At 55.2% G+C, this 26277-nt stretch overlaps 1 protein-coding gene across 10 annotated transcripts in view, besides 6 other annotated features; it reads right to left on the reverse strand.

The window, feature by feature from the left end:
• Nucleotides 1–9574, reverse strand: part of RASA4 (RAS p21 protein activator 4) — a 37113-nt gene extending 27539 nt beyond the window's left edge. For 7 of the 10 annotated variants that reach the window (NM_001079877.2, XM_047419702.1, XM_047419703.1 and 4 more), the window contains exons 1-4: nucleotides 9441–9574; nucleotides 3902–3958; nucleotides 2157–2270; nucleotides 1577–1638 (exon numbers count right to left, since the gene is read on the reverse strand). In NM_001079877.2, coding sequence (NP_001073346.2) covers nucleotides 1577–1638; nucleotides 2157–2270; nucleotides 3902–3958; nucleotides 9441–9505 — 298 coding nt within the window. In that variant the 5' untranslated portion in view covers nucleotides 9506–9574. Of the gene's footprint in view, nucleotides 1–1576; nucleotides 1639–2156; nucleotides 2271–3901; nucleotides 3959–9338; nucleotides 9362–9440 lie in introns of those variants that run through there. The other 3 variants (NM_006989.6, XM_047419706.1, XM_047419707.1) reach the window with 3 other exon arrangements.
• Nucleotides 3264–3878: an enhancer, noted in NCBI's record as "H3K4me1 hESC enhancer chr7:102250895-102251509 (GRCh37/hg19 assembly coordinates)". NCBI's record gives its function as "activates a minimal SCP1, AML or CMV promoter by ChIP-STARR-seq in primed H9 embryonic stem cells {active_cell/tissue: H9 hESC(primed)}" and the evidence as "EXISTENCE:reporter gene assay evidence [ECO:0000049][PMID:30033119]".
• Nucleotides 5143–5785: an enhancer, noted in NCBI's record as "H3K27ac-H3K4me1 hESC enhancer chr7:102252774-102253416 (GRCh37/hg19 assembly coordinates)". NCBI's record gives its function as "activates a minimal SCP1, AML or CMV promoter by ChIP-STARR-seq in primed H9 embryonic stem cells {active_cell/tissue: H9 hESC(primed)}" and the evidence as "EXISTENCE:reporter gene assay evidence [ECO:0000049][PMID:30033119]".
• Nucleotides 5969–6937: an enhancer, noted in NCBI's record as "H3K27ac-H3K4me1 hESC enhancer chr7:102253600-102254568 (GRCh37/hg19 assembly coordinates)". NCBI's record gives its function as "activates a minimal SCP1, AML or CMV promoter by ChIP-STARR-seq in primed H9 embryonic stem cells {active_cell/tissue: H9 hESC(primed)}" and the evidence as "EXISTENCE:reporter gene assay evidence [ECO:0000049][PMID:30033119]".
• Nucleotides 7907–8875: an enhancer, noted in NCBI's record as "H3K27ac-H3K4me1 hESC enhancer chr7:102255538-102256506 (GRCh37/hg19 assembly coordinates)". NCBI's record gives its function as "activates a minimal SCP1, AML or CMV promoter by ChIP-STARR-seq in naive H9 embryonic stem cells {active_cell/tissue: H9 hESC(naive)}" and the evidence as "EXISTENCE:reporter gene assay evidence [ECO:0000049][PMID:30033119]".
• Nucleotides 16824–17325: an enhancer, noted in NCBI's record as "H3K4me1 hESC enhancer chr7:102264455-102264956 (GRCh37/hg19 assembly coordinates)". NCBI's record gives its function as "activates a minimal SCP1, AML or CMV promoter by ChIP-STARR-seq in naive H9 embryonic stem cells {active_cell/tissue: H9 hESC(naive)}" and the evidence as "EXISTENCE:reporter gene assay evidence [ECO:0000049][PMID:30033119]".
• Nucleotides 17326–17825: an enhancer, noted in NCBI's record as "H3K4me1 hESC enhancer chr7:102264957-102265456 (GRCh37/hg19 assembly coordinates)". NCBI's record gives its function as "activates a minimal SCP1, AML or CMV promoter by ChIP-STARR-seq in naive H9 embryonic stem cells {active_cell/tissue: H9 hESC(naive)}" and the evidence as "EXISTENCE:reporter gene assay evidence [ECO:0000049][PMID:30033119]".

Raw genomic sequence — 26277 nt, forward strand, 5'->3', positions numbered from 1 at the left:
CAGTGAGGCTGGCACAGGGCTGAACCCTCAAAATCATGTCTGGGCAGAGCATGGTGGTTCACACCTGTAATCCTAGCACCTTGGGGAGGCCAAGGCGGGAGGATCTGTCAAAGCCAGGAGTTCAAGACCAGCCTGGGCAACAGAGTGAGACCCCCATCTCCATTTTTTTTTTTTTTTTTTTGAGACAGAGTCTTGCTCTGTCACCTAGGCTGGAGTGCAATGGCGCAATCTTGGCTCACTGCAACCTCTGCCTCCCAGGTTCAAGAGATTTTCCTGTCTCAGCCTCCCCAGTAGCTGGGATTACAGGTGAGTGCCACCATGCCCAGGTAATTTTTATATTTTTAGTAGAGACAGGGTTTCACCATGTTGACGAGGCTGGTCTTGAACTCCTAATCTCAAGTGAATTGCCACTGGGATTACAGGTGTGAGCCACCATGCCCGGCCTCCATCTTTGTTTTTCTTTTGGAGATGGAGTCTTGCTCTGTCATCCAGGTTGGAGTGCAATGGCGTGATCTTGACTCACTGCAACCTCCGCCTCCTGGATTCAAGCGATTCTCCTGCCTCAGCCTCCTGAGTAGCTGGGATTACAGGTGCCCACCACGACGTCTAGCTAATTTTTTGTATTTTTAGTAGAGACAGAGTTTTGCCATGTTGGCCAGGCTGGTCTTGAACTCCTGACCTCAGGTGATCCACCTGCCTCGGCCTCCCAAAGTGCTGGGATTATAGGTGTGAGCCACTGCACCCGGCCTCTATTTTATTTTTTATTTTTATTTTTTATTCATTTATTTATTTATTTATTTTTGAGGTGGAGTCTTGCTCCGTTGCTGAGGCTGGAGTGCAGTGGCGCGATCTCGGCTTACTGCAAGCTCTGCCTCCCAGGTTCACGCCATTCTCCTGCTTCAGCCTGCCAAGTAGCTAGGACTACAGGTGCCTGCCACCACGCCCAGCTAATTTTTTTGTACTTTTAGTAGAGACGGGGTTTCACCGTGTTAGCCAGGATGGTCTCGATCTCCTGACCTCGTGATCCACCCGTCTCGGCCTCCCAAAGTGCTGGGATTACAGGTGTGAGCCACCGTGCCCGGCCTTTTTTTTAAAAAAAAACTATATAAAAATTGTAAAAACAATAACACAAAACAATGTCTGCATCCCAGAAATAATTGAAAGGGATCTCCAGCCTGGACTGGCTCTAGGCCAACCCTTCAGACTTAGGACACAGTAGTACTAGGGCCCAGATGGAGGCGACCCCATGGGTTACAGAAGGAGCTGGCCTGATTTGGAGAAGGGGTCCCTATGCTTCAGCAATAGAGTGTAAGGAGGCCCCTTCTTCTGCCAGCAGAGGCCTCAGATTCCACCCATAGCAGCCCCTCTTCACCCTAGGGAAGAGGCAGTAACAACCAGGCTTGGGAACATGCTGCAGAACAGAGGCCAGGAGTACAGAACGTGGCCCCGGCTTCTGGGGAGAGTAGAAATGGCTTTCCCTGAGCAGGAGACCAGACGGAGCCTAGAGGGGAGGTCTCCGAGTGGGAGGGAGGCCAGGGACTGGGCAGACCAGTGTGGGAGGGAAGGGAGAACTTACCCTTAGGGTGAGAGGCTATGGTGTCCCTTGTAAGGCAGACCTTTCCGATAACGTCGTCCCGGCTAGAGGAGGGAGACGGAGGCAGAGCTGGGCAGGGCTTCAGTATCTGCCCTCTGGGACCTCCCACCAAGTTCAGGGCCCCCCCGGGGGGAGCAGGGTGGTGGACACCGCTGTCATTTCCAGAGTAACCCAACAGAGCTGGACCTGTGGCCCTTCTGTAGGCTGTGGGTTCTGGACCCTCTAGGGGGATGTGATAGGTTTCTCACATGCCCACACATGCCAAGCTCACACTCTCTGGGTGCCCATCTCACAGCTCACACCTGCACGCACACGTGTAGTCCATGCACACTTGTGCCTGCATGCCTGCACACACACGTGTGTATGTGGCGCATGCACCATGGAGCCACGCATGTGCACACCCACACGCTCAAGCTTTTCGCCCTCCCAGGCCCCCAGGCTCTGCCTCCCTCCAGGCTGCAAAGAGGATGCCAAAAAGGACCCAGGAGTCCTGGTGGTGAAATGGGCCAGGGAGCAATCAGATGGCCAGGTCTGGGTCCCAGCTGGAGAGGGGGGCACTCACCTGAGGGCATCCTCATCCATGACATAGAAAGCCACAGCGTGGAAGGTGGGCGGCAGGTGCACTTGGTACTCCTCACCCCAGAAGGGGCACAGGGTCTTCCACACTGTGGCTGTCCTGCAGGAGAGAACCCTCAGCATGTGCCCAGGCCACTCCCAGGCCCTGGGCTGGGACCTTCCTTGTATCTTCCCCTACCCCTATAACAACTGGCTCTGCCACTGATGTGTTTTCCCTGTGCCAGACCCTACTGTTCACCACCAATCACTACCCCCTGACATTCCTCTCTGCTCTGGATGGGGCACAGGGCTGCCTCTCTCTGGCTGTTATTTATTTTATTTTATTTTTTTGAGACGGAGTCTCGCTCTGTCGCCCAGGCTAGAGTGCAGTGGCGTCATCTCGGCTCACTGCAACCTCTGCCTCCCAGGTTCAAGCAATTCTCCCTGCCTCAGCTTCCTGAGTAGCTGGGATTACAGACGCCTGCCACCACGCCCAGCTAATTTTGTCATTTTCGTAGAGACAGGGTTTCACCCTGTTGGCCAGGCTGCTCTCGAACTCCTGACCTCAGGTGATCTGCCCACCTCGGACTTCCAAAGTGCCGGGATGACAGGCGTGAGCCACCGTGCCCAGCCTCTCCAGCTGTTTTACATTTGGGGAAACTGAGATCACAGTTGGCAGGCATTGGCCTCAGGTCACAGGGTAGCTGCCTCAGGGCGACTGGTGAGCCTGGCCTCACATCCTCACCCAGCTCTGGTCAACCCCCTTTGGATCAGAGCCTTCAACTCATGGGACTCAGTGGGCTAGCGGGTGGGGAGACGCTGAAGCCCCCAAGGACCCGGATGAAAGTTCAGGGGACCACCTCATGCCAACCACTTCTCAGACAGGTCATCTGTTTCCCTTCTGTATCAAGAGCATCAGAGCCATCACACCCCTCTCCCTCTTGCTGTCTGTGGTTTGCAGACCCTCGAGAAAGGCTGGGAGCCTGCTTGCAGGTAGGGAAGGACTGGGCTCCGAGTAGGCCACGGGCACTCAGGTGGGCAGAACAGTAGGGCAGCTCTGGCCATGAACTTGGAAGCAGGAGTCTGGGTGAAGGAAGGGAGAGGACAGCAAAGACCCTGCCCAGAGATCATGGGGACCATGGAGGAAGGGACATCCGGAGGAAGTGACTCTTCAGGGTGCAGGCTGGGGTTGCCCAGCCTCGAGGGATATTACTATGGGACTCTCAGGGGACAGGACCCAAGTTAGAGCCAGGACCAGGGAGGGGAAGGGAGCTCAGGCTCTGGGGTGGCCAGACTTGGGCTCCAGTGTGGCTCTGCCACTTTTACTAGGCATGTGACCTTGGCCAGGGTAGTTAGTCTCCCTGAGCCTCAGTTTCCTTGTCTGTAAATGGGGTCTAATGATATCGTATCTCGTTAATTGCAAGAACTAAACGGGCTGGAAAAGGGCTGGCTCCACAAATGAGAGTTGTTGTTACAAATCGTCAGCATCTGTCTCTCCCGGAGGTTGTGATGATTGCAAAGATGAACAGAGTCCGGTGAGAGGCCCTTGGCCAGGCCAGTTCCCTGAAGGTCTTTCTCGTCTCCTAGCTGGGGTGTCAGGGCGAGGTGGGGAATCCCAGGCAGGGGACCAGGTGCTCCAAGCCCCCTCCCATCTCCGTACAAAATTCACAACAAAATTCACACCCCTTTGCGGGGAGAGCGCGGGCCGATGAGAGGCTGAGCGCCCCTCGGTCCTGGGGGTGGGGGCGGTACCTGATGATGGGCTCATTGTCCACCTTCACGATGCAGTAGGGGTCGCTGCTGCCAGTGCTGCAAGACAAATAGGCAGGGGCGGGGCTGGAGGGCGGGATCGGGGCGGGGACTCGCGGCAGGCTCCTCTCTCTTTTGGCCCCTCGGGAGGAGTGCGGGGGAAGAGAGCGGAGGCTGAGTCTCCGCGTCCTGGTTTGGAGACCGCAGGCTCCTCCGGCCAAACACGGGTCCCCGCCCTCAGCCCGGGAGCGGATGGTGAGGGAAGGGCAGGAACCCGCACCAGGGCTCCCCTTTCGCGGGCAGGGGTGGGAGTAGATGGAGGGAGAGTTGTGGGGGAGGGAGAAGGAGGGGGAGGAGACAGGGATGGGTAGAGAGAGAAAGGAGAAGAAAGGAGGGGGAAGGAGGAAGGGGAGAGACTGGGAGAGGGACAGAGGGAGGGGCAGAAAGGGAAGGGGACGGACAGGGAGGGGAGAGAGAGGGAAGAGGAGACAGAGGGAGGGGGCTGAGAGGGAGGAGGAGAGAGGTGGGGGTTAAGAGGGAAGGGGGATGATAGGGAGGGGGAGAGAGAGGGAGGAGAGTAAGAGGGAGGGAGTTAAGAGGGAGGGGGAGACTGAGTGAGGGGGTGAGAGGGAAGGGGTGAGAGGGAGGGGGAGAGAGGGAGAAGAGTAAGAGGGAGGGGGAGAGAGGGAGGAGAGTAGGAGGGGGAGAGAGGGAGGAGAGTAAGAGGGAGGGAGTAAAGAGGGAGGGGGAAACTGAGGGAGGGGGTGAGAGGGAGGGGTAGAGAGGGAGAGGGGAAAGACAGGGAGGGGAGGGAGAGGGACAGAGGGAGGGGGTACTGGAAACCTCCTGTTCCTCCCGCAGGGGATAGAATGTTCCTCCTTTCTATGCCCTCCTACCCCATCCCTGCCTCCCCCCAGAACAGCTCCAAGCAACAGCCGCAGGCAAGCTCCTGGGACCCCTACCCTCCACACCAAAGTCGAGCCCCTTACTCTCCCTGGAGCCTTTGCTCCTGCTCTCCCCAACACCGACACCGCTGTCCCTCCTGCCCAGTCGGCCTTCAGCCCTGCCAGAGCCCTCCCTCGCCCCAGGACGGGACGGGGAGGAAGGCCTCCCTGGACTCACACTGCCTGCCCACTTCATCCAGCCTGGTAGTGATCAGCTGCCTCCCACCTGCTCTGAGCTACCTGGGGGCGGGGAGCATGCCTGTGTCCCCAGGGCCCCCACAGGGCTTGGCACAAGACAGGCAGCCCATGAGTGTTTGCCGAATGAACAGACGAATGAATGAACTGATGAGTGAATGAATGAATAAATGTAACAGCTATCTGGGGAAAGAGGGATGGGGGAAGGCAAACACGCGCTCAGTTCCAAGGGTCTCAGGTGTTGGGGGGCTCCTGGGGCTGGGAGAGGCCTGCAGCCAGGCCTAGGGCTGGTACTGGGTAAAAGTGGGGAAGTGAGGGCTGTCTCTAGAGCTGTTCCTCCAGTGAGTGTCCATAAAAAGGAAGTGTGTTTCTATGGTGGAGGGTGGGGAATTCCAAGCTCTGCTTCCCTTCTCAAAAGGGGCTCTTCCGGCAGAGGAAGGCATTTGGGGCCAACAGCTCCAGAAGCTCCTGGACACAGACAGGAAATGTCTGCCAAGACTCAGTTTTCCTACCTATAAAGTGGGAAGTGTAACCCCGGCTCACAAGGGAGCTTCCCTGGGTCCTGAGACGATAGAGAAGGTCTTGGAGGTGCTCAGTAAATGTTAGCACTGCCTGCATCTCTGACTGTAACCTCCCCCTGCCATCATTTGAGAGCCCCCGCCTCCTGGCCAGGTGTGGTGGCTCACACCTGTAATCCCAGCACTTTGGGAGGCCGAGGTGGGCAGATCACGTGAGGCCAGGAGTTCCAGACCAGCCTGGCCAACATGGTGAAACCCCGTCTCTACGAAAAATACAAAAATTAGCCGAATGTAGTGGTGGTGTACAACTGTAATCCCAGCTACTGGGGAGGCTGAGGTAGGAGAATCCCTTGAACCCCGGAGGAGGAGGTTGCAGTGAACCAAGATCGCGCCACTGCACTCCAGCCTGGGCAACAGAGCAAGACTCTGTCTCAGAAATAAATAAAATAAAATAAAGAGCCCCCCCACCTCCAGGGAGCCCCCTGTGAATACCCCAGCTTGCATCCCATCAACCCAAAGCCAGGGGACTCCAGGTGCTAAGAAATCAGGCCTCTGAACACCCCAGGTGCTGGGCTGGGCTGCAGGATCCAGGAGCCATACAAGGAGCTCAGAGGAGGCAGGGAGAGGTCAGTACTGACTGAGGCAACAGGGGACCTCCGTGGGCTGTCCCCCACTACTGGGCTGCTACTGCTTCCAAAGGCCTGGAAGCAGGACCCGAGTCCTGGTGTGCAAGGACTATGAAGAGCCGGGTGGCTGGATCAGAGGTGGGGCAAGAGGACGGTATTGAGAGCAGGCCGAGGCCAGATTTAAGGACCTGGGCCCAACCATGGTCCCCAGTGGGCTGCTGGGACCCAAGCCCTGCCCAGTTCCTTCTTCGCTAGTGTTGAGGCCCCTAGGCTGCCCACCTCTCTCATTTCTCCTTTCCCGAGCCAGTTGCCACTGGCCTGTCTGGCTACTTTCGGGGCCTCTATATTTAGGGCCTTGGCAGTTTCTAGGCTGTGGAAGGAGGAGGATCAGGGAAAACCCCAAAATAGCCTTGGGCCAGTCCCCAAGGCCACTTGGTGTGGGAGGCAGTGGGTCACTGGTCATCGTGAGACTTGGCTCATGCCTAGGTACGTGGGGACGAGAGACAGTGGGAAGAGGCAGGGCAGGAACAGGCAGGCTCTGAAAGCTAGCAGTGATGGGGAATGCAGCTGCGCTCTGTGCCCTTTAGAGGAATAAAAACCCATGAGTAGAAGTGGCAGGAAGGCAGCTGGCAGCTGTGTGAGGACAGCTTCCTCCTTGGAACTGTCTCAGTCAAGATGAGCCACTATGAGAGGTGGTAAGCTCCCCGTCCTCAGAAGTATGCAAGCCCTGGCTGGAGGAGATGCTACTCAGAAGATAGGCGGGGTGCTGGTGAGGCACAGTGAAACTCCAGTACTCAGTGAGGGCCTCCCATGATCTCCAAACCCCTGCCCGACTCTGCAGCCAAATGCTTTGCATAGGATTTCCGAGGCTCAGTCTCACTGAGCCCAGCCGCAAGCTTACAGCCGCGGGCAGGCTAGAATTCTCAGCCTGTCGGCAGCAAAGGCAATCTGAATCCTGACTTCTCTACCTACCCTCTTGGCAAATGGCTTTCACTTCCTGAGCCTCAGTTTCCCAATGTGCAAACCGAGGATGTCTATCTTATAAAGCTAAGAAGAGGATTAAGTGGGGGAAGTCCTCAACACCTCTTATTCTCCCTACTATGGACCCGGTGCCAGGATGAATGAGTCACAGTCCCTGCCCTCACAGTCAGCTGGGACAGGCACCACTTGACGGAGGAACTGCCACACCAGGGGCTTCCTCCTGCCACCCAGAGTGCTGGGGGGCGAGCCCAGGAGCCAGGAACTCTGCCCAAGTGCACCAGGGAATGCCCTGGAGAGGAGAAGTTTGAGAGGAGTCCTGAACATTGAATAGGAGTTTTCTGGAGGACTGAAGTGGAGTGCTTGAAGGCAGAAGTCCCCACACATGGGCGAAAGCAGAGATGTGAAGGGTAGTAGCCCAAATGTGAGGGACTGTTTATGGGATGGTTTAAGAGGCGGCTGACAGGTCAGAGCTGTGTATGCAAGCCACAGGGGAAGATGGGGGGTTGCAAAGGAGACGTGAGTAGGGCAGGCAGGGGGGCAGGGTGAGGATCGAGATCCCAAGGCACCCCTCCACTGTAGATGGAACCCCTTTGCCCAGAGGCAAAGCACTGAGCAGGGAACCAGGCACTGGGCTCCCAGGTGGGCATACTCCAAGAGCTTGGCTGCCCTGGGCTGGAGAGAGCCTGGAGCCAGGCACTAGGGCCAGCTGCTGTGGGGATGAGGAGGGAGGCGACAGACGGAGGGGCTGCTCCTCCCAGCTGCCACCAGCCAGAAGAGGCCAAGATGACCTAGTTCCTAGTGCCAGTGGTGGCAGGGGGTGGGGGATGCTTAAAGGCTGGGCCTGGAGGCTGAGACCCTTCTCAGAGCTCCTCTGCCTTCCCAGCCCACAGACCTCACTGCCAGCTCCCACTCCACCTCCCTCCAAGCCTCCAAGCACAGAAACCCACCTAGGGATGCCCACCGCCCTCCCTTCCCCATTGTCATGGTAACTGCTGAGCTGGGCCTCATCAGACCCAGGGGGCCTGGAACTGGCACTGCTCTCGGTGGTGGCGCGCTGAGCTTGCTGGGAAGCTCACAGGGGCCACCACACATATGTGTGAGCAGAGTGCCTGCCCCCCACCCTGCTCCACCCCCTCGCCCATGCTAGCCACTTCTCTGCATCCAGGAGCCCGGGGCGCCCAAGGGGTGGGGAACTGCAGCTCCGCAGACTTTGGACTCTGTTTCCTCCAGGCTCCACTTTTCCCCCTCCCACCCTCCTCCTCCAGGCAGCCAGTGCCCCTTGACCTTTGAGCTTTCCCCCTCTTCCTCTAGAGGGATTTCAACCCCTAGTTTAAAGAGGGGAAACTGAGGCTCTAGGAGCAGGGAGCTGCCTAAACCCTGTACATGAGGAAGGTGGTGGCAAGACCAAGATGGTGGGCCAGGGGTCAGGCAGCTCAGCCCTGGGACCTACTGAGAAGAGTGGAACAAGGGGCCCCTGAAACCTCCCCAAATCGAGCCAGGGACCAGGGGAATCCCCAGATGTCAGTGCCTGTGAGAAGCCCTAGACTCAAGACCCTGCTCTGCCTGCCACTTGGAGCCAGCATTTCACTTCTCTGAACCTCAGTTTTCTCATCTGTAAAATGGAACGGTGAGAACTGCCTTTCGGGGTGGTTGAGAGGATTAACGGGATGGCTCAGGTGTAAAGCCCAAGGCACAAGCGACAGTTACTACCCTCCTTCCCTCCCCCACAGTCCTGCACCTGTCCTGGCCTCCTGACCTGTTCTCACTTTTCATGCCAGTCCCTCCTACCCGAGTGCACAGCAGGAAGCCCGGGGACAGCCCCTGGGCCCCAGCATGTGCTTCAGGTGCACACTCCGGGGCATTAAGGGCTCTGGAACTACTGAGGAAGACCCTTCCTTTGCGGGGGACACCCCACCCCCTCCAACCCCACCCCGGGGGCAGATCACCAAGACGTCTCCCCTGGCATGTCACCAGGCTCCAGCTCCTGTCGTATCAAAGCCCCTTCCCCTCGTGAGCCGCGGATCGCTGACAAATTCTCGCCCCCTCCCTAGTTCCCAGCCCCCAGCCCTCGGTGACACTTCCCCGCCCCCCGGTTGTCACCCCGTCTGGTGCTCGCAGAAAATGTCACTGTCCCCATTTTCCCCGCCGATCCCCCACCACGGCCGCACTCCCGCACCCTCTCCGCTGCTCTTGTGGGTGGACCCCGGAAAGGTCAGGCGTCCTGGGGGGCAGTGCCCCTCCCCGGAAAGTTGGGGCTCCCACCCCCGGCCGCGCTCACATGTCCTTGGCGGGAAGGTTCTTCCCCTCCACGATGCGGATGTACAGCGAGCTGCGCTTGGCCATCGCGGGGTCCCGGCTCGGGGGAAGCCAGACACCGGGGTCCGGGGTGGCGGGCGGCGGGCGCTGGACTGGGCGCCGCAGGTGGGGCGGGCCGGGGAGGAGGCGGGGGCGGGGGCGGGGCGGCGGGGGCGGGGCTTCGCTGCCACTCCACTCACCCCGCCCCCGCCCCACGTGCGGGGGACACTGCGCCCGGGCCGGCCAATCCGCGACCGGGGTTCCCCAGGGCGGGGAGGGGCCGGCCGGGGCCGCAGCTCTCATTGGCCGTCTGGGGCGTGAGGGGCGGGGCCTGTGAGGAGGCGCTGACACTCGCCGGGCAGCCGGCGCGGTGGCTCGAGGGGGGCGCCCCTGGAGGAGCGGGTGGGGGACACTGCAACCTCCACCTCCCGGTTTCAAGCAATTCTTCTGTCTCAGCCTCCCAAGTAGCTGGGATTGCAGACACGCGCCACCACGCCCAGCTAATTTTTGTATTTTCGGTAGATACGGGGTTTCACCATGTTGGCCAGGCTGGTCTTGAACTCCTGACCTCAGGTAATCTGCCCACCTCGGCCTCCCAAAGTGCTGGGAATACAGGCATGAGCCATCGTGCCTGGCTGTTTTTATGTTTTTTAGAATCAGAAGAAAAAAAATATGTATTTTTTGTATTGGTTGGTTTGTGTGTGTATGTATGTATGTATGTATGTATGTATGTATGTATGTATGCATGCATTTGAAACAGGGGCTTGCTCTGTTGGCTGAAGTGCAGTGGTGCAATCATAGCTCACTGCAGCCTCAATCTCCTGGGTTCAAGCAATCCTACCACCTCAGCCTCCCATGTAGCTGGGACTACAGATGCATACCACCACGACTGGCTAATTTTTTTTATTTTTAGTAGAAATGGGGGGGTCTCATTATGTTGCCCAGGCTGGTCTAGAACTCCTGGCCTCAAGTTATCCTCCTGCCTTGGCCTCCCAAAGGGCTGGGACCACAGATGTGAGCCCACCATGCCTAGTCAAACAGGAGTATAATAGTAATGAATATGTAATAATGAATCTGACCTGACTGGTATCAGTCAGTCTTTATGCCAAAGCAGTTGTAAAATACACATTTGAATATCTTTTTTTTTTTCTTTTTTTTGGGGTGGAGTCTCGCTCTATCACCCAGGCTGGAGTGCAGTAGCGCAATCTCAGCTCACTGCAACCTCTGCCTCCCTGACTCAAGGCATTCTCCTGCCTCAGCCTCCCGAGTAGCCAGAGCTTCAGGGACCTGCCACCACGCCTGGGTAATTTCTATATTTTTAGTAGAGATGGAGTTTCACCAGGTTGGCCAGGCTGGCCTCAAACACCTGACCTCAGGTGAGCTGCCCACTTCGGTCTCCCAGAGTGTTAGGATTACAGGCGTGAGCCACCGTGCCTAGCCGTATTTGAATATCTTAACCCATATAAGTCAAACATGCCTAGGGCTCACAAAAGTTACAGTGCATCCTGGCACAGGAGAGGAGGCAGCTCTTGAGTTTCAGTGCATGCTTTTGATATTCACTATAGGTCAATGTCGTTGAAAGAAAAAGTGTTTGAGGCTGGGCACAGCGGCTCACGCCTATAATCCCAGCACTTTGGGAGGCTTGAGATGGGAGGATCACTTGAGGCCAGGAGTTCAAGCCCAGCCAGGGCAACATAATGAGACCCCCCCCCACCTTTGCTACAAAAAATAAAAATATTAGCCAGGCATGGTAGTGTGTGTCTGTAGTTCGAGCTACTCAGAAAGCCGAGGCAGGAAGATTGCTTGAGCCTAGGAGGGGAGGCTGCAGTGAGGTATGATCGCACCACTGCACTCCAGCGTGGGCGACAGAGCAAAACTCTGTCTCCAAAAACAAAAACAAAAACGAGGCCAGGCGTGGTGGCTCACACCTGTAATCCCAGCACTTTGGGAGGCCGAGGTGGGTGGATCACCTGCGGTCAGGAGTTCGAGACCAGCCTGGCCAACATGGCGAAACCCCATATCTACTAAAAATACAAAAATTAGCCGGGCGTGGTGGCAGGCGCCTGTAATCCCAGCTACTCTGGAGGCTGAGGCAAGAGAATTGCTTGAGAACCCGGGAGGCAGAGGTCGCAGTGAGCCAAGTTCGCACCATCGCACTCTAGCCTGGGTGACAAGAGTGAAACTCAGTCTCAACAAACAAACAAACAAACAAAAAAAGCAAGGAAGGAAATTCTTACACATGCTAAAAGATGGATGAAACTTGAAGACATAATGCTAAGTGAAATGAGCCAGTTACAAAGAAAGACAAATAGTGGTTGCTTCCACCTATGGGAGGTATCTGGAATAGTACAATTCACAGAAGCAGAAAGGAGAGTAGAAGTTTTCAGGGGCTGGAGCGGGGCAGGGAAAGCGAGTTGTTTGTTGAGTGTAGGGTTTCAGTATTGCAAGGTGAAAAAGTTCCAGAGATGTGCATATAGTTAATACTACTGTGCTGTCCACTTAAAAATAGTGAAGATGGGCCAGGGGCGGTGGCTCACGCCTGGAATCCCAGCACTTTGGGAGGCCGAGGTGCGTGGATCGCCTGAGGTCGGGAGTTTGAGACCAGCCTGGCCAACATGGTGAAACTCTGTCTCTACTATAAATATAAAAATTAGCTGGGCGTGGTGGTGCACGCCTGTAGTCCTAGCTATTCAGGAGGCTGAGGCAGGGAGAATCGCTTGAACCTGGGAGGTGGAGGTTGCGGTGAGCTGAGATGGCACCACTGTACTCCAGCCTGAGCGACAGAGAGAGACCTCGTCAAAAAAAAAAAAAGCTTAAGATGGGCTGGGTGTGGTGACTCATGCCTGTAATCCCAGCACTTTGGGAGGCTGAGGCGGGCAGATCACTTGAGCTCAGGAGTTCAAGACCAGCCTGGGCAACATGATAAAATTTTAAAAAATAAAGAAATAAGGCCGGGCGTGGTGGCTCACACCTGTAATCCCAGCACTTTGGGAGGCCGAGGCGGGAGGATCACTTGAGGTCAGTAGTTGGAGACCATCCTGGCCAACATGGTGAAACCCCGTCTCTACTAAAAATACAAAGATTACCTGGGCGTGGTGGTGCACACCTGTAGTCCCACTACTCGGGAGGCTGAGGCAGGAGAATCACTTGAACCCAGGAGGCGGAGCTTGCAGTGAGACCAGATGGCACCACAGCACTCCAGGCTGGAGACACAGTGAGACTCCGTCTCAAAATAATAACAATAAATAAATAAAATAGTTAAGATGGTAAACCTTATGTGTTTTTTTACCAGAATAAAAAAAATGCACCCATACCCCAACTTTGTAATATATTTTGGCAATATAAAACAATTGAAAAGAATTTTATAACAACTTTCAAAGCGGTTTGGGGGCAAGTAACTCATTTGATTTGCTCCTGGCCTTGACTTCTCTACCAACATCATGCATTCTTGAGAATCTTAGGATTCTTCCAAAGTGAGAAAATGTGACCTACGAATTGTTTTCATGCGCAGTGATGCATTTTGAAATACTAAATTTAACAATGGATGAAACTGACATAAAGTTATATTTAGAAGACATTTCAGTAAACATTTACTATTTTTTAATGTTGCAGTTTTAATATTTTGGAGCCAAAGCATTTCCCGCTCTTAAACCTCGAGGAGTTTTAGGAGCTGGAGGCCTCACACCTCTCCTGGAAAAAATTGTCCCTGCCCTAAGGAAGGACTCCTGAGCCACCTTCCGTCCTCACCCATCAGACTCTGACAGTGGCTTCTGGTGGCTGTCCTGCTGTGCCATGGCCCAGAGCCCCCAGAGAGGACTTTGGGAGGAGGCAGGTCCTGGAAGAATGAGACCGAAGGCATTGCTGGAGGAAGAAGGAGAAGCCCAGAAAACTGGATAGGAGGCAGGAGCAGGGGATGAGGAGGAAGTTGGGTGGCAGGTGCAGAGGGTGGCAAGGGCAGCCCTCTCCGAAGGCCAGAGGAGTCCAGCTGTGAACCCGCAAAAGCTGGGCACAGGAGCCAGGGACACAAGGATCCCTGGCAGGCTCTGGGCCAAGTGACAGCTGTATGTTAAGAAGTCCTGGCCGGGAGCGGTGGCTCATGCCTGTAATCCCAGCACTTTGGGAGGCCAAGGCAGGTGGATCACGAGGTCAGGAGTTCAAGACCAGCCCGGCCAAGATGATGAAACCCCGTCTCTACTAAAAATACAAAAATTAACCCGAAATGGTATTGCTTGCCTGTAATCCCAGCTACTCGGGAGACTGAGGCAGAGAATCACTTGAACCCGGGAGGCAGAGGTTGCAGTGAGTCGAGATCATGCCACTGCACTCTAGCCTGGGCAACAGAGCAAGACTCTGTCTCAAAAACAAAAAAAATCCTGGCTGGCCAGAGGGGCAGGCTGGGAGTCATCAGAGGCCAGATGGGGCTCTATCCCCAGCTTCCCCCTACCCCACCAATCTTGACACTCCTACTGCACCATTTAGACAGATACCATTGAATAACAGTTTTAAAGCCAAGGTCCACAGGCTGGGCTTGGTGGCTCAATGCCTGTCATCCCAGCACTTTGGGAGGCCAAGGCAAAGGATCGCTTGAAGCCTGGAGTTCAAGACCAGCCTAGGCTACATAGCGAGACCCTGCCTTTACGAAAAATAAAAAAGTTAGCCAGGCATGGTGGTGCACACCTGTAGTCCCAGCTACTCGAGAGGCAGAGGTGGGAGGATCGCTTGAGCTCAGAGGTCACGGCTGCAGTGAGCTGTGATTGTGCCACTGCACTCCAGCCTGGGTGATAGAGCAAGACCCTGTCTCCAAAAACAAAAAGCAAAAACCACAAAAAAACGAGGTCCACAGTGAAGATCGCAGGCTCTGGAGCCAGACAATTGAGTTCAAATCCTACCTCCACTGCTATGATAGGAGCTGCTGTGTGACTGGGCCAGTTATTCAGCCTCTCTGGGCTTCATCTGCCTAATCTGTAGAGTGGGGCAATGGTGGCTGCACCCCGCAGAGTGGCTGGGAACAGAGTGTGCTGGTGAGCCACTTGGTCACCAGACCGCAGAGGGCACCTCCCTGGGGCAAGCACTCAGGACATCCTCACGTTAATCCCCAGAAGCAGAGGAGCAGGGCTGTTCTTACCATCCACCCCCCACCCCCCCCCTTTTTTTTTTTTTGAGACGGAGTTTCGCTCTGTGGCCCAGGCTGGAGTGCAATGGTGCAATCTCGGCTCACTGCAACCTCCACCTCCCGGGTTCAAGTGATTCTCCTGCCTCAGCCTCCCGAGTAGCTGGAATTACAGGTGTGTGCAACCACACCCTGCTAATTTTTGTATTTTTAGTAGAGACAGGGTTTTGCCATGTTGGCCAGGCTGGTCTTGAACTTCTGACCTCAAGTGATGCGCCTGCCTCAGCCTCCCAAAGTGCTGGGATTACAGGCATGAGCCACTGTGCCCTGCTAATTTTTGTATTTTTAGTAGAGACAGGGTTTCACCATGTTGGCCAGGCTGGTCTTGAACTCCTGACCTCAAGTCATCCACCCGCCTCGGCCTCCCAAAACGCTAGGACTACAGGCATGAGCAACCATGCCCAGCCTCACCATCCCCCTTTCATGGATGCAGAAATCATGGACTGAACCCTTAACTCTGCACCGGCCAGCCTCAACACACCAGGTCCTCACCAAGGACTCCAGGACTAGATGCTGGTGTCCTGTCCACTTCATAGATAAGGAGCTGCAAAGTCACAATGACAAATTCACCCCCCTCCTAGCACAGCCCCCAGCCCTGCAGATGTCAGAAAGAAAGACCCTGCTCTGAAAGACAGACAGACAGACAGAGAGAAACAGATGGAGAAACATAGTCAGAGGCAGAGAGACAGGAAATCAGAAAGAGAAAATTCAAGCTCATGCCTGTAATCCCAGCACTTTGGGAGGCCAAGGCAAGTGGATCACCTGAGGCTAGGAGTTCGAGACCAGCCTGGCCAACATATTGAAACCCCGTCTCTACTAAAAATACAAAAAATTAGCCAGGTGTGGTGGCAGGTGCCTGTGATCCCAGTTACTCGGGAGGCTGAGGCAGGAGAATCGCTTGAACCTGGGAGGCGGAGGTTGCAGTGAGCGGAGATAGAGCCATTACACTCCAGCCTGGGCAACAAGAGCAAAACTCTGTCAAAAAAACAAAAACAAAAACAAAACACCAAGAGAGAAAATTCAGAGGCCAGGAGTGGTGGCGTGAACCTATAATCCCAGCTACTTGGGAGGCTGAAGTGTGAGAATCGCTTGAACCCGGGACATGGAGGTTGCAGTGAGCTGAGATTGCGCCACTGCATTCCAGCCTTGGTGACAGAGTGAGACTCCGTCTCCAAAAGGAAAAAAAGAGAAAATTCAGAGACAGAGAGGGCTGCTCTGAACACCCAGACTGAAGTAGGGGTGAGGGTGGGGGGAATGTTACCCCCAGTTTTCCCAGGGACCCCTTGTGGGAGGTGGGGTGGGAAGAGGTTGCAGGTCCCCTCTGGGCATCTCAGGGGTGTCTGAGAATGGTCTCCAGCAGAGGCGAAGGTGGACAGAGGCAGGCATAGGGCTGGTGACAGGTGTCACCTTAGGACGTGCCCTGAGTCCATGGGTATCCCAAAAGTGAGCAGGGCATGGCTGCCACGAGGGCTTCAGCACTGCAGTAAAGAGAGGGTTTCTGTGTGGTCTTAGACTCTGATGCTCTCCTTTCCCTTTTTTCTTTCTTTCTTTTAAAATGTTTGTTTGTTTGTTTGTTTTTTGACACAGAGTCTCGCTCTGTTCCCCAGGCTGGAGTGCAGCGGCGTGGTCTTGGCTCATTGCATCCTCTGCCTCCCAGGTTCAAGCAATTCTCCTGCCTCAGCCTCCCAAGTAGCTGGGATCACAGGCACCTGCCACCATACCCAGCTAATTTTTTGTGTGTTTTTCGCAGAGACGGGGTTTCACCATGTTGGCCAGGCTGGTCTCCAACTACTGACCTCAAGTGATCCTCGGCCTCCCAAGGTGCTGGGATTACAGGTGTGAGCCACCATGCCCGGCCAAAATTGTTGTTGTTGTTATTGTTTTTCTTTTTGGAGGGCTGGGCATGATGGCTCATGCCTGTAACCCCAGCTACGCCGGAGGCTGAGGCACGAGAATCACTTGACCCTGGGAGGTGGAGGTTGCAGTGAGCTGAGATGACAGAGTGCCTGACTGAGCTGAGATGACAGAGTGCCTGAGTGACAGAGTAAGACTCTGTCTCAAAAAAATAATAATTAAAAAAAAGAAAAGAAAAAGAAAAAAACTTCTAAATTTTTTGTAGAGATGATGTCTCACTGTGTTGCCCAGGTTGGTCTCCAACTCCTGGACTTGAGCCATCCTCCCACCTTGGCCTCCCAAAGTGCTGGGATTAGAGCTGTGAGCCACTGCATCCCACCTGTACCCTTTCCTCTGAGGCCTCCTGGAGCTGCAGTCCCTTAATCTCCTCAGCCCCAGCCCCTGTGGGTGAATACTGCTGCCCCCCTCAAAGTGAGAAACTGACACGTAGCAAGGCAAGTGAAGCCCCAGGAGTGGGTGTTACCTGCCAGCCCAAAGCCGGGAGTCCAGAGTCTTGGGTCCAGATCTCTGCTATAGACTCTGGGAGCAACCAAGGACACACTGCTCCCACTGAGACTGGAGATGGTCCCAGGGGGCTTCCTGGAAGAGGCGGCACCTGAGCTGGGCTTGAAGGAGAAGAGCTGGGGCTGGGAGAAAGAACAGGAGGAAGGGCTGGGAAGTGGGGGAAAGAGTCCAGGTGCAGCTCTGAGGGCACTCCCCGAGCAGAGACGGCCCAGGGCTGGGGGAGACAACGTGATTCCAAGGGGACTCTCGCCTCCAGAACCCTGTGCAGGACCTGGCCAGGCCTCTTCTGACTCCACAAGGAGAAAAATGTGTGTGCAAGCGAGGGGACTTGGGATGGGGCCAGTGCAGCTGCGGCTGGAACGTAAACCTGTCGTGGCTTCTGGCGCCATGGCCACCCCCAGCCGGGGAAAGGGCCCCGGCTCGGCTGATGAGAACCAGGAGCCAGGATGGAGCCACAGTGGGGGCATGGGAGGGTGAGGGTGACGGCTCTTGTTTTTCAGCTTGACCCTTGCCCATCCACTACTCCCCCATCCACTACTCCCACAGATCCTGGGCACTGTGGGTAACTGGAACCCTGGCCTCTAGATGCCCCCAGCCCTTGGATCACTGGTGTCCCCCCACCACTTAGCCGTCCCCAGTAGGCCCCCCACCATCCCCCTGCATCTCTGCCTTGGCTCTGCCTGGGATCTTCTGCATGGCTGTTCCCCCATCCCTCCAGTGCCTGACGCCACCCAGTGTCTTGCTAACCCACAATTCTCCGGACTACTCCATGGATGCTTGCTGGATAGACGCGGACATTTTCCATACAGAGAACTGCACAAATATTTTATTTATTTTTTTGAGATAGGGTCTCGCTCCGTTGCCCAGGCTGGAGTGAAGTGGTGTGATCATAGCTCACTGCAGCCTCAATCTCCTGGGCCCAAGCAATCTTTCCACCTCAGCCTCCTAAGTAGCTGGGACTACAGGTGCATGCCAGCATGCTCAGATAATTAAAAAAAAAAATTTTTTTTTTAGAGTCAGGGGGCTCACTATGTTGCTCAGGCTGGTCTCGAACTCCTGGCTTCTAGCAATCTGCCCACCTCAGCCTCTCAAAGTGCTAGGATTCCAGGTGTAAGCCACCACATTCAGCTAAAGTGCACAAATCTTATGTGGACAGCTCGAGGAAGTCTTACACAGGCCTACGACTGCATGACCATCTCCCAGATCAAGAACTAGAACATTCCCAGCCCCAGGTGGCTTCCTTGTGTCCCATACCAGTCATCACCACCTCCAGGAATAACTTCTATCCCAATTTATTGCCATGGATTACTCCCACCTGCTTTTTTGAGATAGGGTCTCACTCTGTTGCCCAGACTGGAGTGCAGTGGCACAATCACAGCTCACTGCAGCCTCCAACTTCTGGGCTCAAGTGATCCTCCTGCCTCAGCCTCCTGAGAAGCTGGGATGATAGGCCTGCACCACCACGCCCGGCTAATTTTTTATTTTTTTTAAGATGGGGTCTTGCTATGTTGCCCAAGCTGGTCTCAAACTCCTGGGCTCAAGCGATTCACCCCCCACAACTGGCCTCCCAAAGTGCTGGGATTACAGGTCTGAGCCACTGTGCCCACCCGGCCCTCCTGCCTGCTTTTGCTCTTTATATAAATGGAATCCTACAGTGTATATTTGCTTGTGCCTGGCTTCTTTGCCAATGTTACATGCAGGGGAGTCACCCATGTTGCTGAATAGCATTCTACGGTGTGGGCGGAGGCCTCACAACCTGCCTCTTCACTAGCCTGTGGATGAACGTCTGTTGTTTCCTGTTTGGGTCTGTTATGAAGAAGGCTGATCTGAATGTTCTTGCACATGTCTTTTTTTTTTTTTTTTTTTTTTTTTGAGACGGAGTCTCACTCTGTGGCCCAGGCTGGAGTGCAATGGCGCAGTCTTGGCTCAATGCAGCCTTCACCTCCCGGGTTCAAGCGATTCTCCTGCCTCAGCCTCCCGAGTAGCTGGGACTATAGGCACCCACCACCAGGCCTGGCTAATTTTTGTATTTTTAGTAGAGACGGGGTTTCAATATGTTGGCCAGGCTGGTCTCGAACTCCTGACCTCAAGTGATCCGCTCCCCTTGGCCTCCCAAAAGACATGTTTGGGAGGCTCAGTGCTCATTTCTCATGGGGAGATGTCTAGAAGCAGAATTGCTGGGGCCTGGGGCAGGCGTAGAACACTGGATTCTAAATAGGCCGGTTCTTACTGTGCCTCTCCGAGCATTTCACACGCATTCCCACCACCTTCCCAGGGGACCTACCACGTGTCTCCTTCACCTCCCTTTATTCTCCCAGTAACAGAAACTTCAGATCCATCAGCCTCTGTTTTGCAGAGCAGAGCAGCCCTCCTGACCTTGCTCCTGTCCTGCTGGGCCCAGGGCACACCCGTCACAGCTAAAGGGCCCACTGGTTTGGCCAACAAGGAGAGAGCCCTTTCCTGCAGGCTGAGAGCCTCTCTCTGTCTCTCTCTCTCTCTTTTTTTTTCTTTTTTTTTTGAGATGGAGTCTCGCTCTGTCACCCAGGCTGGAATGCAGTGACGTAATCTTGGCTCACTTCAGCCTCTGCCTCTGGGGTTCAAGTGATTCTCCTGCCTCAGCCTCCCAAGTAGCTGGGTTTACAGGTGCATGCCACCATGCCCGGCTAATTTTTGTATTATTTATTTATTTATTTATTTATTTTTAGTAGAGATGGAGTTTCACCTTATTGGCCAGGCTGGTCTCGAACTCCTGACCTCAACTGATCCACCCACCTCGGCCTCCCAAAGTGCTGGGATTCCAGGCATGAACCATCACGCCCAGGCCCTGAGAGCTTCTCTCATGGCACTTTGGGACTGTCTGTTTGCAGTCCATCCCTCTGTGGGCTGCTCACCCCTTTACCCCCAGGATAGAGACTGTGGTCAAGCTATTCCTGCACCCAGTGCCCAGCACACAGCTTGATGTGGACAACAGGGAACCGGCGGCTCACAGAAAGGTGGGGTGGGAGAGAACAGCTTAGAGGCAAATGTCTCCTACTTTGAGGACTAAGTCCAGAGATGTAGCTTCAAGGTCCAGTTTCTCTGCTTGGGCCTGGGGAAAGCTTTTCACTTTTTGGGATTTTAGTATGAGCCTGGTGTCCCTCCAGGGTCCAGGTGGGCCCTTCCATTCACCCCAGCCTTAGACCCAAGGCAGATGAGTTGAGTACAACCAAGAACCACTGGCCACACCCTTCCCAGGCCCTGAGAGGTCACTTCCTGGACAGCCCAGGCTGGAACCGGCCCACAGTGGGAAGAGAAGGGGTCTCCCACTGGAGATAAGGCCTCCAGTCAATGTCTCTGACATTCATGGAGATCCCTCTGGGGCTCGGTGGCTGGTCAGAGGGGTCGAGGCAGGGCCCTGGGCAGTGGGTGGACAGGGTCCGTGATCAGAGGGACCGTCACCCAGCCCGCCCTTGGACGTCAGCCCAGACCCAGGTTCCTCTCTTCCCAGAAGTTCATCCCCCTAAATGGACTTACGTGCTTAGCTCTCATTAACCTTCTGAACCTTCCAGAAAGGGAGTGGAAATGTCCTGCCTCATCTCCTGCTGAGGAAGCCTGGGTAGGAGTGGAGGAAGATAAAGGGACCCCCCCAAGGGCTGCTGCTGGGGCCAGAGATGTGGGGGTCCCAGGCAAGGGTGTTGTCCTGAGCAGAGTCTCTGCACCGGCTGGGTCACCAAGGAGGCTCTGCAAGTTCATCCAGCAGAGGTGGGAGAGCTGAACACCCCTGCCTCTCTCTTAGGGATCCTTGACTCCCTCTGCACCAGCCCAGCAGTCCCCCGCCAGCCGCCCCTCACTTCCCTCCTCCAGCAATTCTTTTTATTGTTTTTTTGAGACGGAGTCTTGCTCTGTCGTACAGTGGTGCGATCTCGGCTCACTGCAACCTCCGCCTCCCGAGTTCAAGCAATTGCCCTGCCTCAGGCTCCCGAATAGCTGGGATTACAGGCACTCACCACCACGCCCAGTTAATTTTTGTATATTTAGTAGAGACGAGGGTTTCGCCATGTTGGCCAGGCTGGTCTCGAACTCCTGACCTCAAGTGATCCACCCACCTCAGCTTCCCAAAGTGCTGGGATTACAGGTGTGAGCCACTGCACCCAGCCCAAGGGCCCATCTTAACACTGCTACTGTGCATGAGGCTTGTGCTGGGCAGGGGCTCCCTGGGCTGGGCTGAAGTGACCTGGGTAGCTGGCATGGGTGGTCTGGGTCTCCAGGTCTGTGTTCTCATTTCTCATCTGTCTCCCTCCGTCCCTTCACCCCAGCAGAGACAGATTACAGCCTGCACCATGGGTGGCCAGGAGATAATCTTTCTTTTAATTTTGTATTTTATTTATTTATTTATTTTTTGAGACACAGTCTCGCTTTGTCACCCAGGCTGGAGTGCAGTGGCGCAATCTCAGCTCAGTGCAACCTCCAACACCTGGGTTCAAGCGATTCTCCTGTCTCAACCTCTTGAGTAGCTAGGATTACAGGCGTGTGCCACCATGCCCAGCTAATTTTTGTATTCAAGATATTCCTTTGGATTCGATATACTCTTTTTTTTTTTTTTTTTCGAGATGACGTCTTGCTCTGTCACCCAGGCTGGAGTGCAGTGGCGCTATCTCAGCTCAGTGCAACCTCTGCCTCCCAGGTTCAAGAGATTCTACTGCCTCAGCCTCCTGAGTAGCTCGGATTACAGGTGTAAACTACCACGGCCAGCTAATTTTTGTATTCGAGATATTCTTTTTGTTGTTGTTGTTGTTGAGACAGAGTCTCACTCTGTTGCCCAGGCTGGAGTGCAGTGGCACAATCTTGGCTCATTGCAATCTCCACCTCTCTGGTTCAAGAGATTCTCCTGCCTCAGCCTCCCAAGTAGATGGGATTACAGGCACCCACCATCACACCCGGCTAATTTTTGTATTTTTAGTAGAGACAGAGTTTCACCAAGTTGGCCAGCCTGGTCTCGAACTCCTGACCTCAGGTGATCTACCCGCCTCGGCCTCCCAAAGTGCTGGCATTACAGGTGTGAGACACCGCACCTGGTCGATATTTGAGATATTCTTGAACTCCGTGTGATTTGGAGGTTGACAAACCACTCGAGGTAGAAGAGACAGAAGTGGTGGAAGCATTTGAAGCTGAGCTTGGAGGACCAGAGGACTGGGGCTCCAGGAGAAGGGGTGGGAGGTGGGGGAAGGGTGGCAGGGAGCAGCTGGTGTGAGCCCTCATGCACCATCCTGGAGACCCAGGAGCTTTGGGCCTGACAGCACAGCTCAAACCCGTCCAGCAAGCAAGGGTTCCAGCTCCTGCAACACTGAATCCCCCAAATCCCTACAAGTCCCCAGGGGCATCTGGGGACAGTCTGCATTTCAGCCAGGACCTCACCTATGGGTCCTGGGAGCAAGGGGAAGCCATCCCCTTTGCCTGGAGTGTCCTGCTTGGGAAGGGCCCCCACAGCAGGGTGGCTGGGACCCCAGAGAGACCCCTCTCTCGAACCTTAGCCCTTGCCTTTTTGTGACCCTGCAATGGAAATATCCCCCAGGAAGGTTACTTTGATGGGGTCAGACCGGGTAGCCCCCGACCACTCGCTGCCCCAGACTCTTGGACAAGCTGATTCCCTCCCCAAGGCTTCACAGCCCCCCACTGCCCAAGTCTTCAGACCCCTCAGGTAAACCCTGATTTCCAAGAGCGCCCCGGCTCCCATGTCAAAGAGGGGGTGCAGAGACACACTGTGTGGGTGAGTGGAGGGCTGCCTGGTTTCCAACAGTGGTCCCCTTGGGGCACCTGTGCTCCTGCTGCAGTGGACGGCTGGGTGTCTGGAGGAAGGGCTGGGGTGTGGAGACAGCGGTGGGGCACAGCCAGCAGGGGTGGGGGTTCCAGGCTGACTCCCTCTGCATCTGCCGAGGGATGGGCTGCGAATGGTTTCTGTCCCCTGATATCCACTTGTTCTTTTTCCTTTCTTTTCTCCCTCTCCTCCCCTCCCCTCCCCTTTCCTTCCCTTCCCTCCTTCCTTCCTTCCTCTCTCTCTCCTTCCTTCCCCTCCTTCCTTCCTTCCCCTCTCCTTCCTTCCTTCCTCTTTCCTTTCTTTCTTTCCTTCCTTCTCTTTCATCTCTCTCTCTCTCTCTCTCTCTCTCTCTCTCTCTCTCCCCCTCCCTTTCTTTCTCCCTCTCCCTCTCCTCTCTCTTTCTCTCTTTCTTTCTTTCTGACAAGGTCTCAGGGTCTTGCTCTGTGCCCGGGCTGGAGTGCAGTGATGCAATCATAGCTCACTGCAGCCTCGACCTCCTGGGCTCAAGCGATCCTCACACCTCGGCCTCCTGAGTAGCTGGGACCACAGATGCACACTACCATGCCCAGCTAATTTTTAAAACTTTTTTAGAAATGGGGGTCTCCGTATGTTGCCCAGGCTGGTCTTGAACTTCTGGGCTCAAGCGATCCTCCCACCTAGGCCTCCCAAAGCGCTGGGATTACAGATGGGACCCATCGCACCCAGCCCCTGTTCTTTCCCTGCTCTTATTTCTGCTGCTTTTTGCCCTTTTCCCCACTGAGTCCAGCCGCGGAACTGACGCCAGCTCTCTGATTTTATCTTGTGTTTATTGGGAAATGGTGGTGCCCATCTCTGGGCCAGTCCAGACAGCTTCCCCCTAGGAAGTGAGCCAAGTTCCCATGGCGTGTCAGAGTTAAAAACAAGGACAAGAGACAGCGTGAGAGACATAAGAGAGGGGGCACAGAGAAAGACAGAAAAGCAGAGAGAGGGACACACAGGTCCCCTGCTTCCTCTTCTGTTTGTTCATTAATCAGGCTGATGTCAGGTGGCACAAGGGGCATTGGACATCATTTCATGGCTCAAGATCATTGTCCCTAAGTCTGTTTTCCCAGGCTGTCCCCTTAAGAGCTGGGCTGCCGCGGCCACACCCTGCAGTCCATGTCACCCTCCAGCCATTGCTCTCCTGTGGGTGTGCCCGGCAGAGCCTCCAGTTCTGTGCCTGCCCCCTGGAATGCCCCTAAAGCCCTCCCAGCCCCTTACCCAGCCTTCAAGGCCACACCTGTGCCCCTCCTTCATGCAGCCCCCAGATGGGATCAGGAGGCAGGGTGTGCCTCTCTGTCCCTTAGGGGCTCCCTGGTCATCTCTGTGCATGTCTAGATGCCACAGAGATGGACTGGCCTTGATGGCCGGGACTCTACGTCTTAGCATCCAGCATGGCTAGCTGAAGTCAGTGGCTGCAGAGTGTGGGAATGAGTGAGTAAGTGAGTGAGTGAATGAATGAATGAATGGGGGAGAACTGAGTGACCCGAGGGAGGCCCAGACCTGGACAGGAGCTTCTGGTGCCTCTTGTCCCTCCTTTTTTTTTTTTTTTTTTAAGATGGAGTCTGGCTCTGTTGCCCAAGCTGGAGTGCCGTGGCACAATCTCAGCTCACTGCAACTTCTGCCTCTCGGGTTCCAGTGATCCTCCTGCCTCAGCCTCCTAAATAGCTGCAACTACAGGCGTGCACCACCACAACCGGCTAATTTTTGTATTTTTAGTAGAGACAGGGTTTTGCCATGTTGACCAGGCTGGTCTTGAACTCCTGACCTCGTGATCCACCTGCCTCGGCCTCCCAAAGTGCTGGGATTACAGGCGTGAGCCACCGCACCCAGACCCCTCTTGTCCATTCTTTTCATGGATGAGGAGGCTGAGGCCCAAGCTGGTCAGGGGGGTGCCAGGACTGGGGCTCCGACATTTTCTCTCCCAGGGGATTCTCAGGATCCCTCTATGGGAACATGATCAGTGGCTTTAAGGGGCCAGGGGCTTTCCCTCCAGCCAGCCCTGGACTCACAGGCCTCAGAGAACCTGGAGAAGCCAGCCTCACATGGCTGGGATTTTCATCGGGAGAATCCCACTGGCCATGTACTGGGCTCTCTCCCAGTCCCTGAGATTGGGCTCTGGGCTCAGCGCTGAGCAGGACCCAAGGAAGTGGCTTAAATCTTTGTGGCCAGGCGGTGTCTGCTGTAGAAAGCAGTGTGGCATGTGGCCAGGTGGTACTGTGGTCAGGGAGAGAGGTTGCCTGGGGCTGTCCAGGCTTCAGCCTGGGAAAGGGAGCACCCGGGGAACCAAGACAAGGTGCAGGGCTGGAGACAGCTTTGGGCTCGGCTGTCGGGGAAGCATATTGGCAGGAGGGGCCTCCTAGATGTCTGGTCAGAGATGGCCAGGGGGCCAAGGACATATGAGAGGCAGCTGAGGGTTGCCGGGCGAGCTGCCTCACGCCTGTAATCCCAGCAATTTGGGAGGCTGAGGCGGGCGGATCACCTGAGGTCGGGAGTTCGAGACCAGCCTGGCCAACATGGTGAAACCCCGTCTCTACCGAAATACAAAAATCAGCCGGGCATGGTGGCGGGTGCCTGTAATCCCAGCTATTCAGGAGGGTGAGGCACGAGAATCGCTTGAACCCAGGAGGTGGAGGTTGCAATGAGTCAAGATCGCGCCACTGCACTCCAGCCTGGGTGACAGAGCCAGACTCTGTCTCAAAAACAAAAAAAAAAAAGAAAAAAGAGAGGCAGCTGAGGGGAGGGACAAGGGTCATTAGTCCACATGGGAGCTGGCTGAGGCTGATGCCCAGGGATAGGGGAGCTGAGTGGGTGCAGGCCCAGGAAGTGAGCAATTGCCAGTGACACCGGGTGAAGGGACAGGTGGAGGAGGAGTTGTGAGCTCAGCTGCACAGGACATTACTCCAAATGGGGCTGAGGAGAAGGGGGACCCCCATACTCCCCACCTCCCAATGCTGAGGCATGTGGGTAGGGGGCTACCCAGGAGGGCTTCAGGGAAAAAGTGTTCTGAAGGAAGAGGCAGGAGGGTGGTGAAGGGGACATTTGGGGGCCACCCCTTCTCCAGCTGGCAAAATTGTCCTGTCCCTGCTGGGTGCGGTGGCTCATGCCTGTAATCCCAGCACCTGGGGAGGCTGAAGCGGGAGGATCACTTGAGGTCAGGAGTTTGAGACCAGCTTGGGCCACACGGTGAAACCCGCACCCCACCCCCCACCCCGCCCAATCTCTTCTAAAAATACAAAAATCAGCTGGGCATGGTGGTGCACTCCTGTAATCCCAGCTACTCGGGAGGCTGAGAGATGAGAATCACTTGAACCCAGGAGGCGGAGATTGCAGTGAGCCGAGATCGTGCCATTGTACCCCAGCCTGGGCGACAGAGCAAGACTCCATCTCAAAAAAAAAAAAAAAAAAAAAATTTGCCCT

Source organism: Homo sapiens, chromosome 7 (genome assembly GCF_000001405.40).
Source record: "Homo sapiens chromosome 7, GRCh38.p14 Primary Assembly".
NCBI lineage: Eukaryota > Metazoa > Chordata > Mammalia > Primates > Hominidae > Homo > Homo sapiens.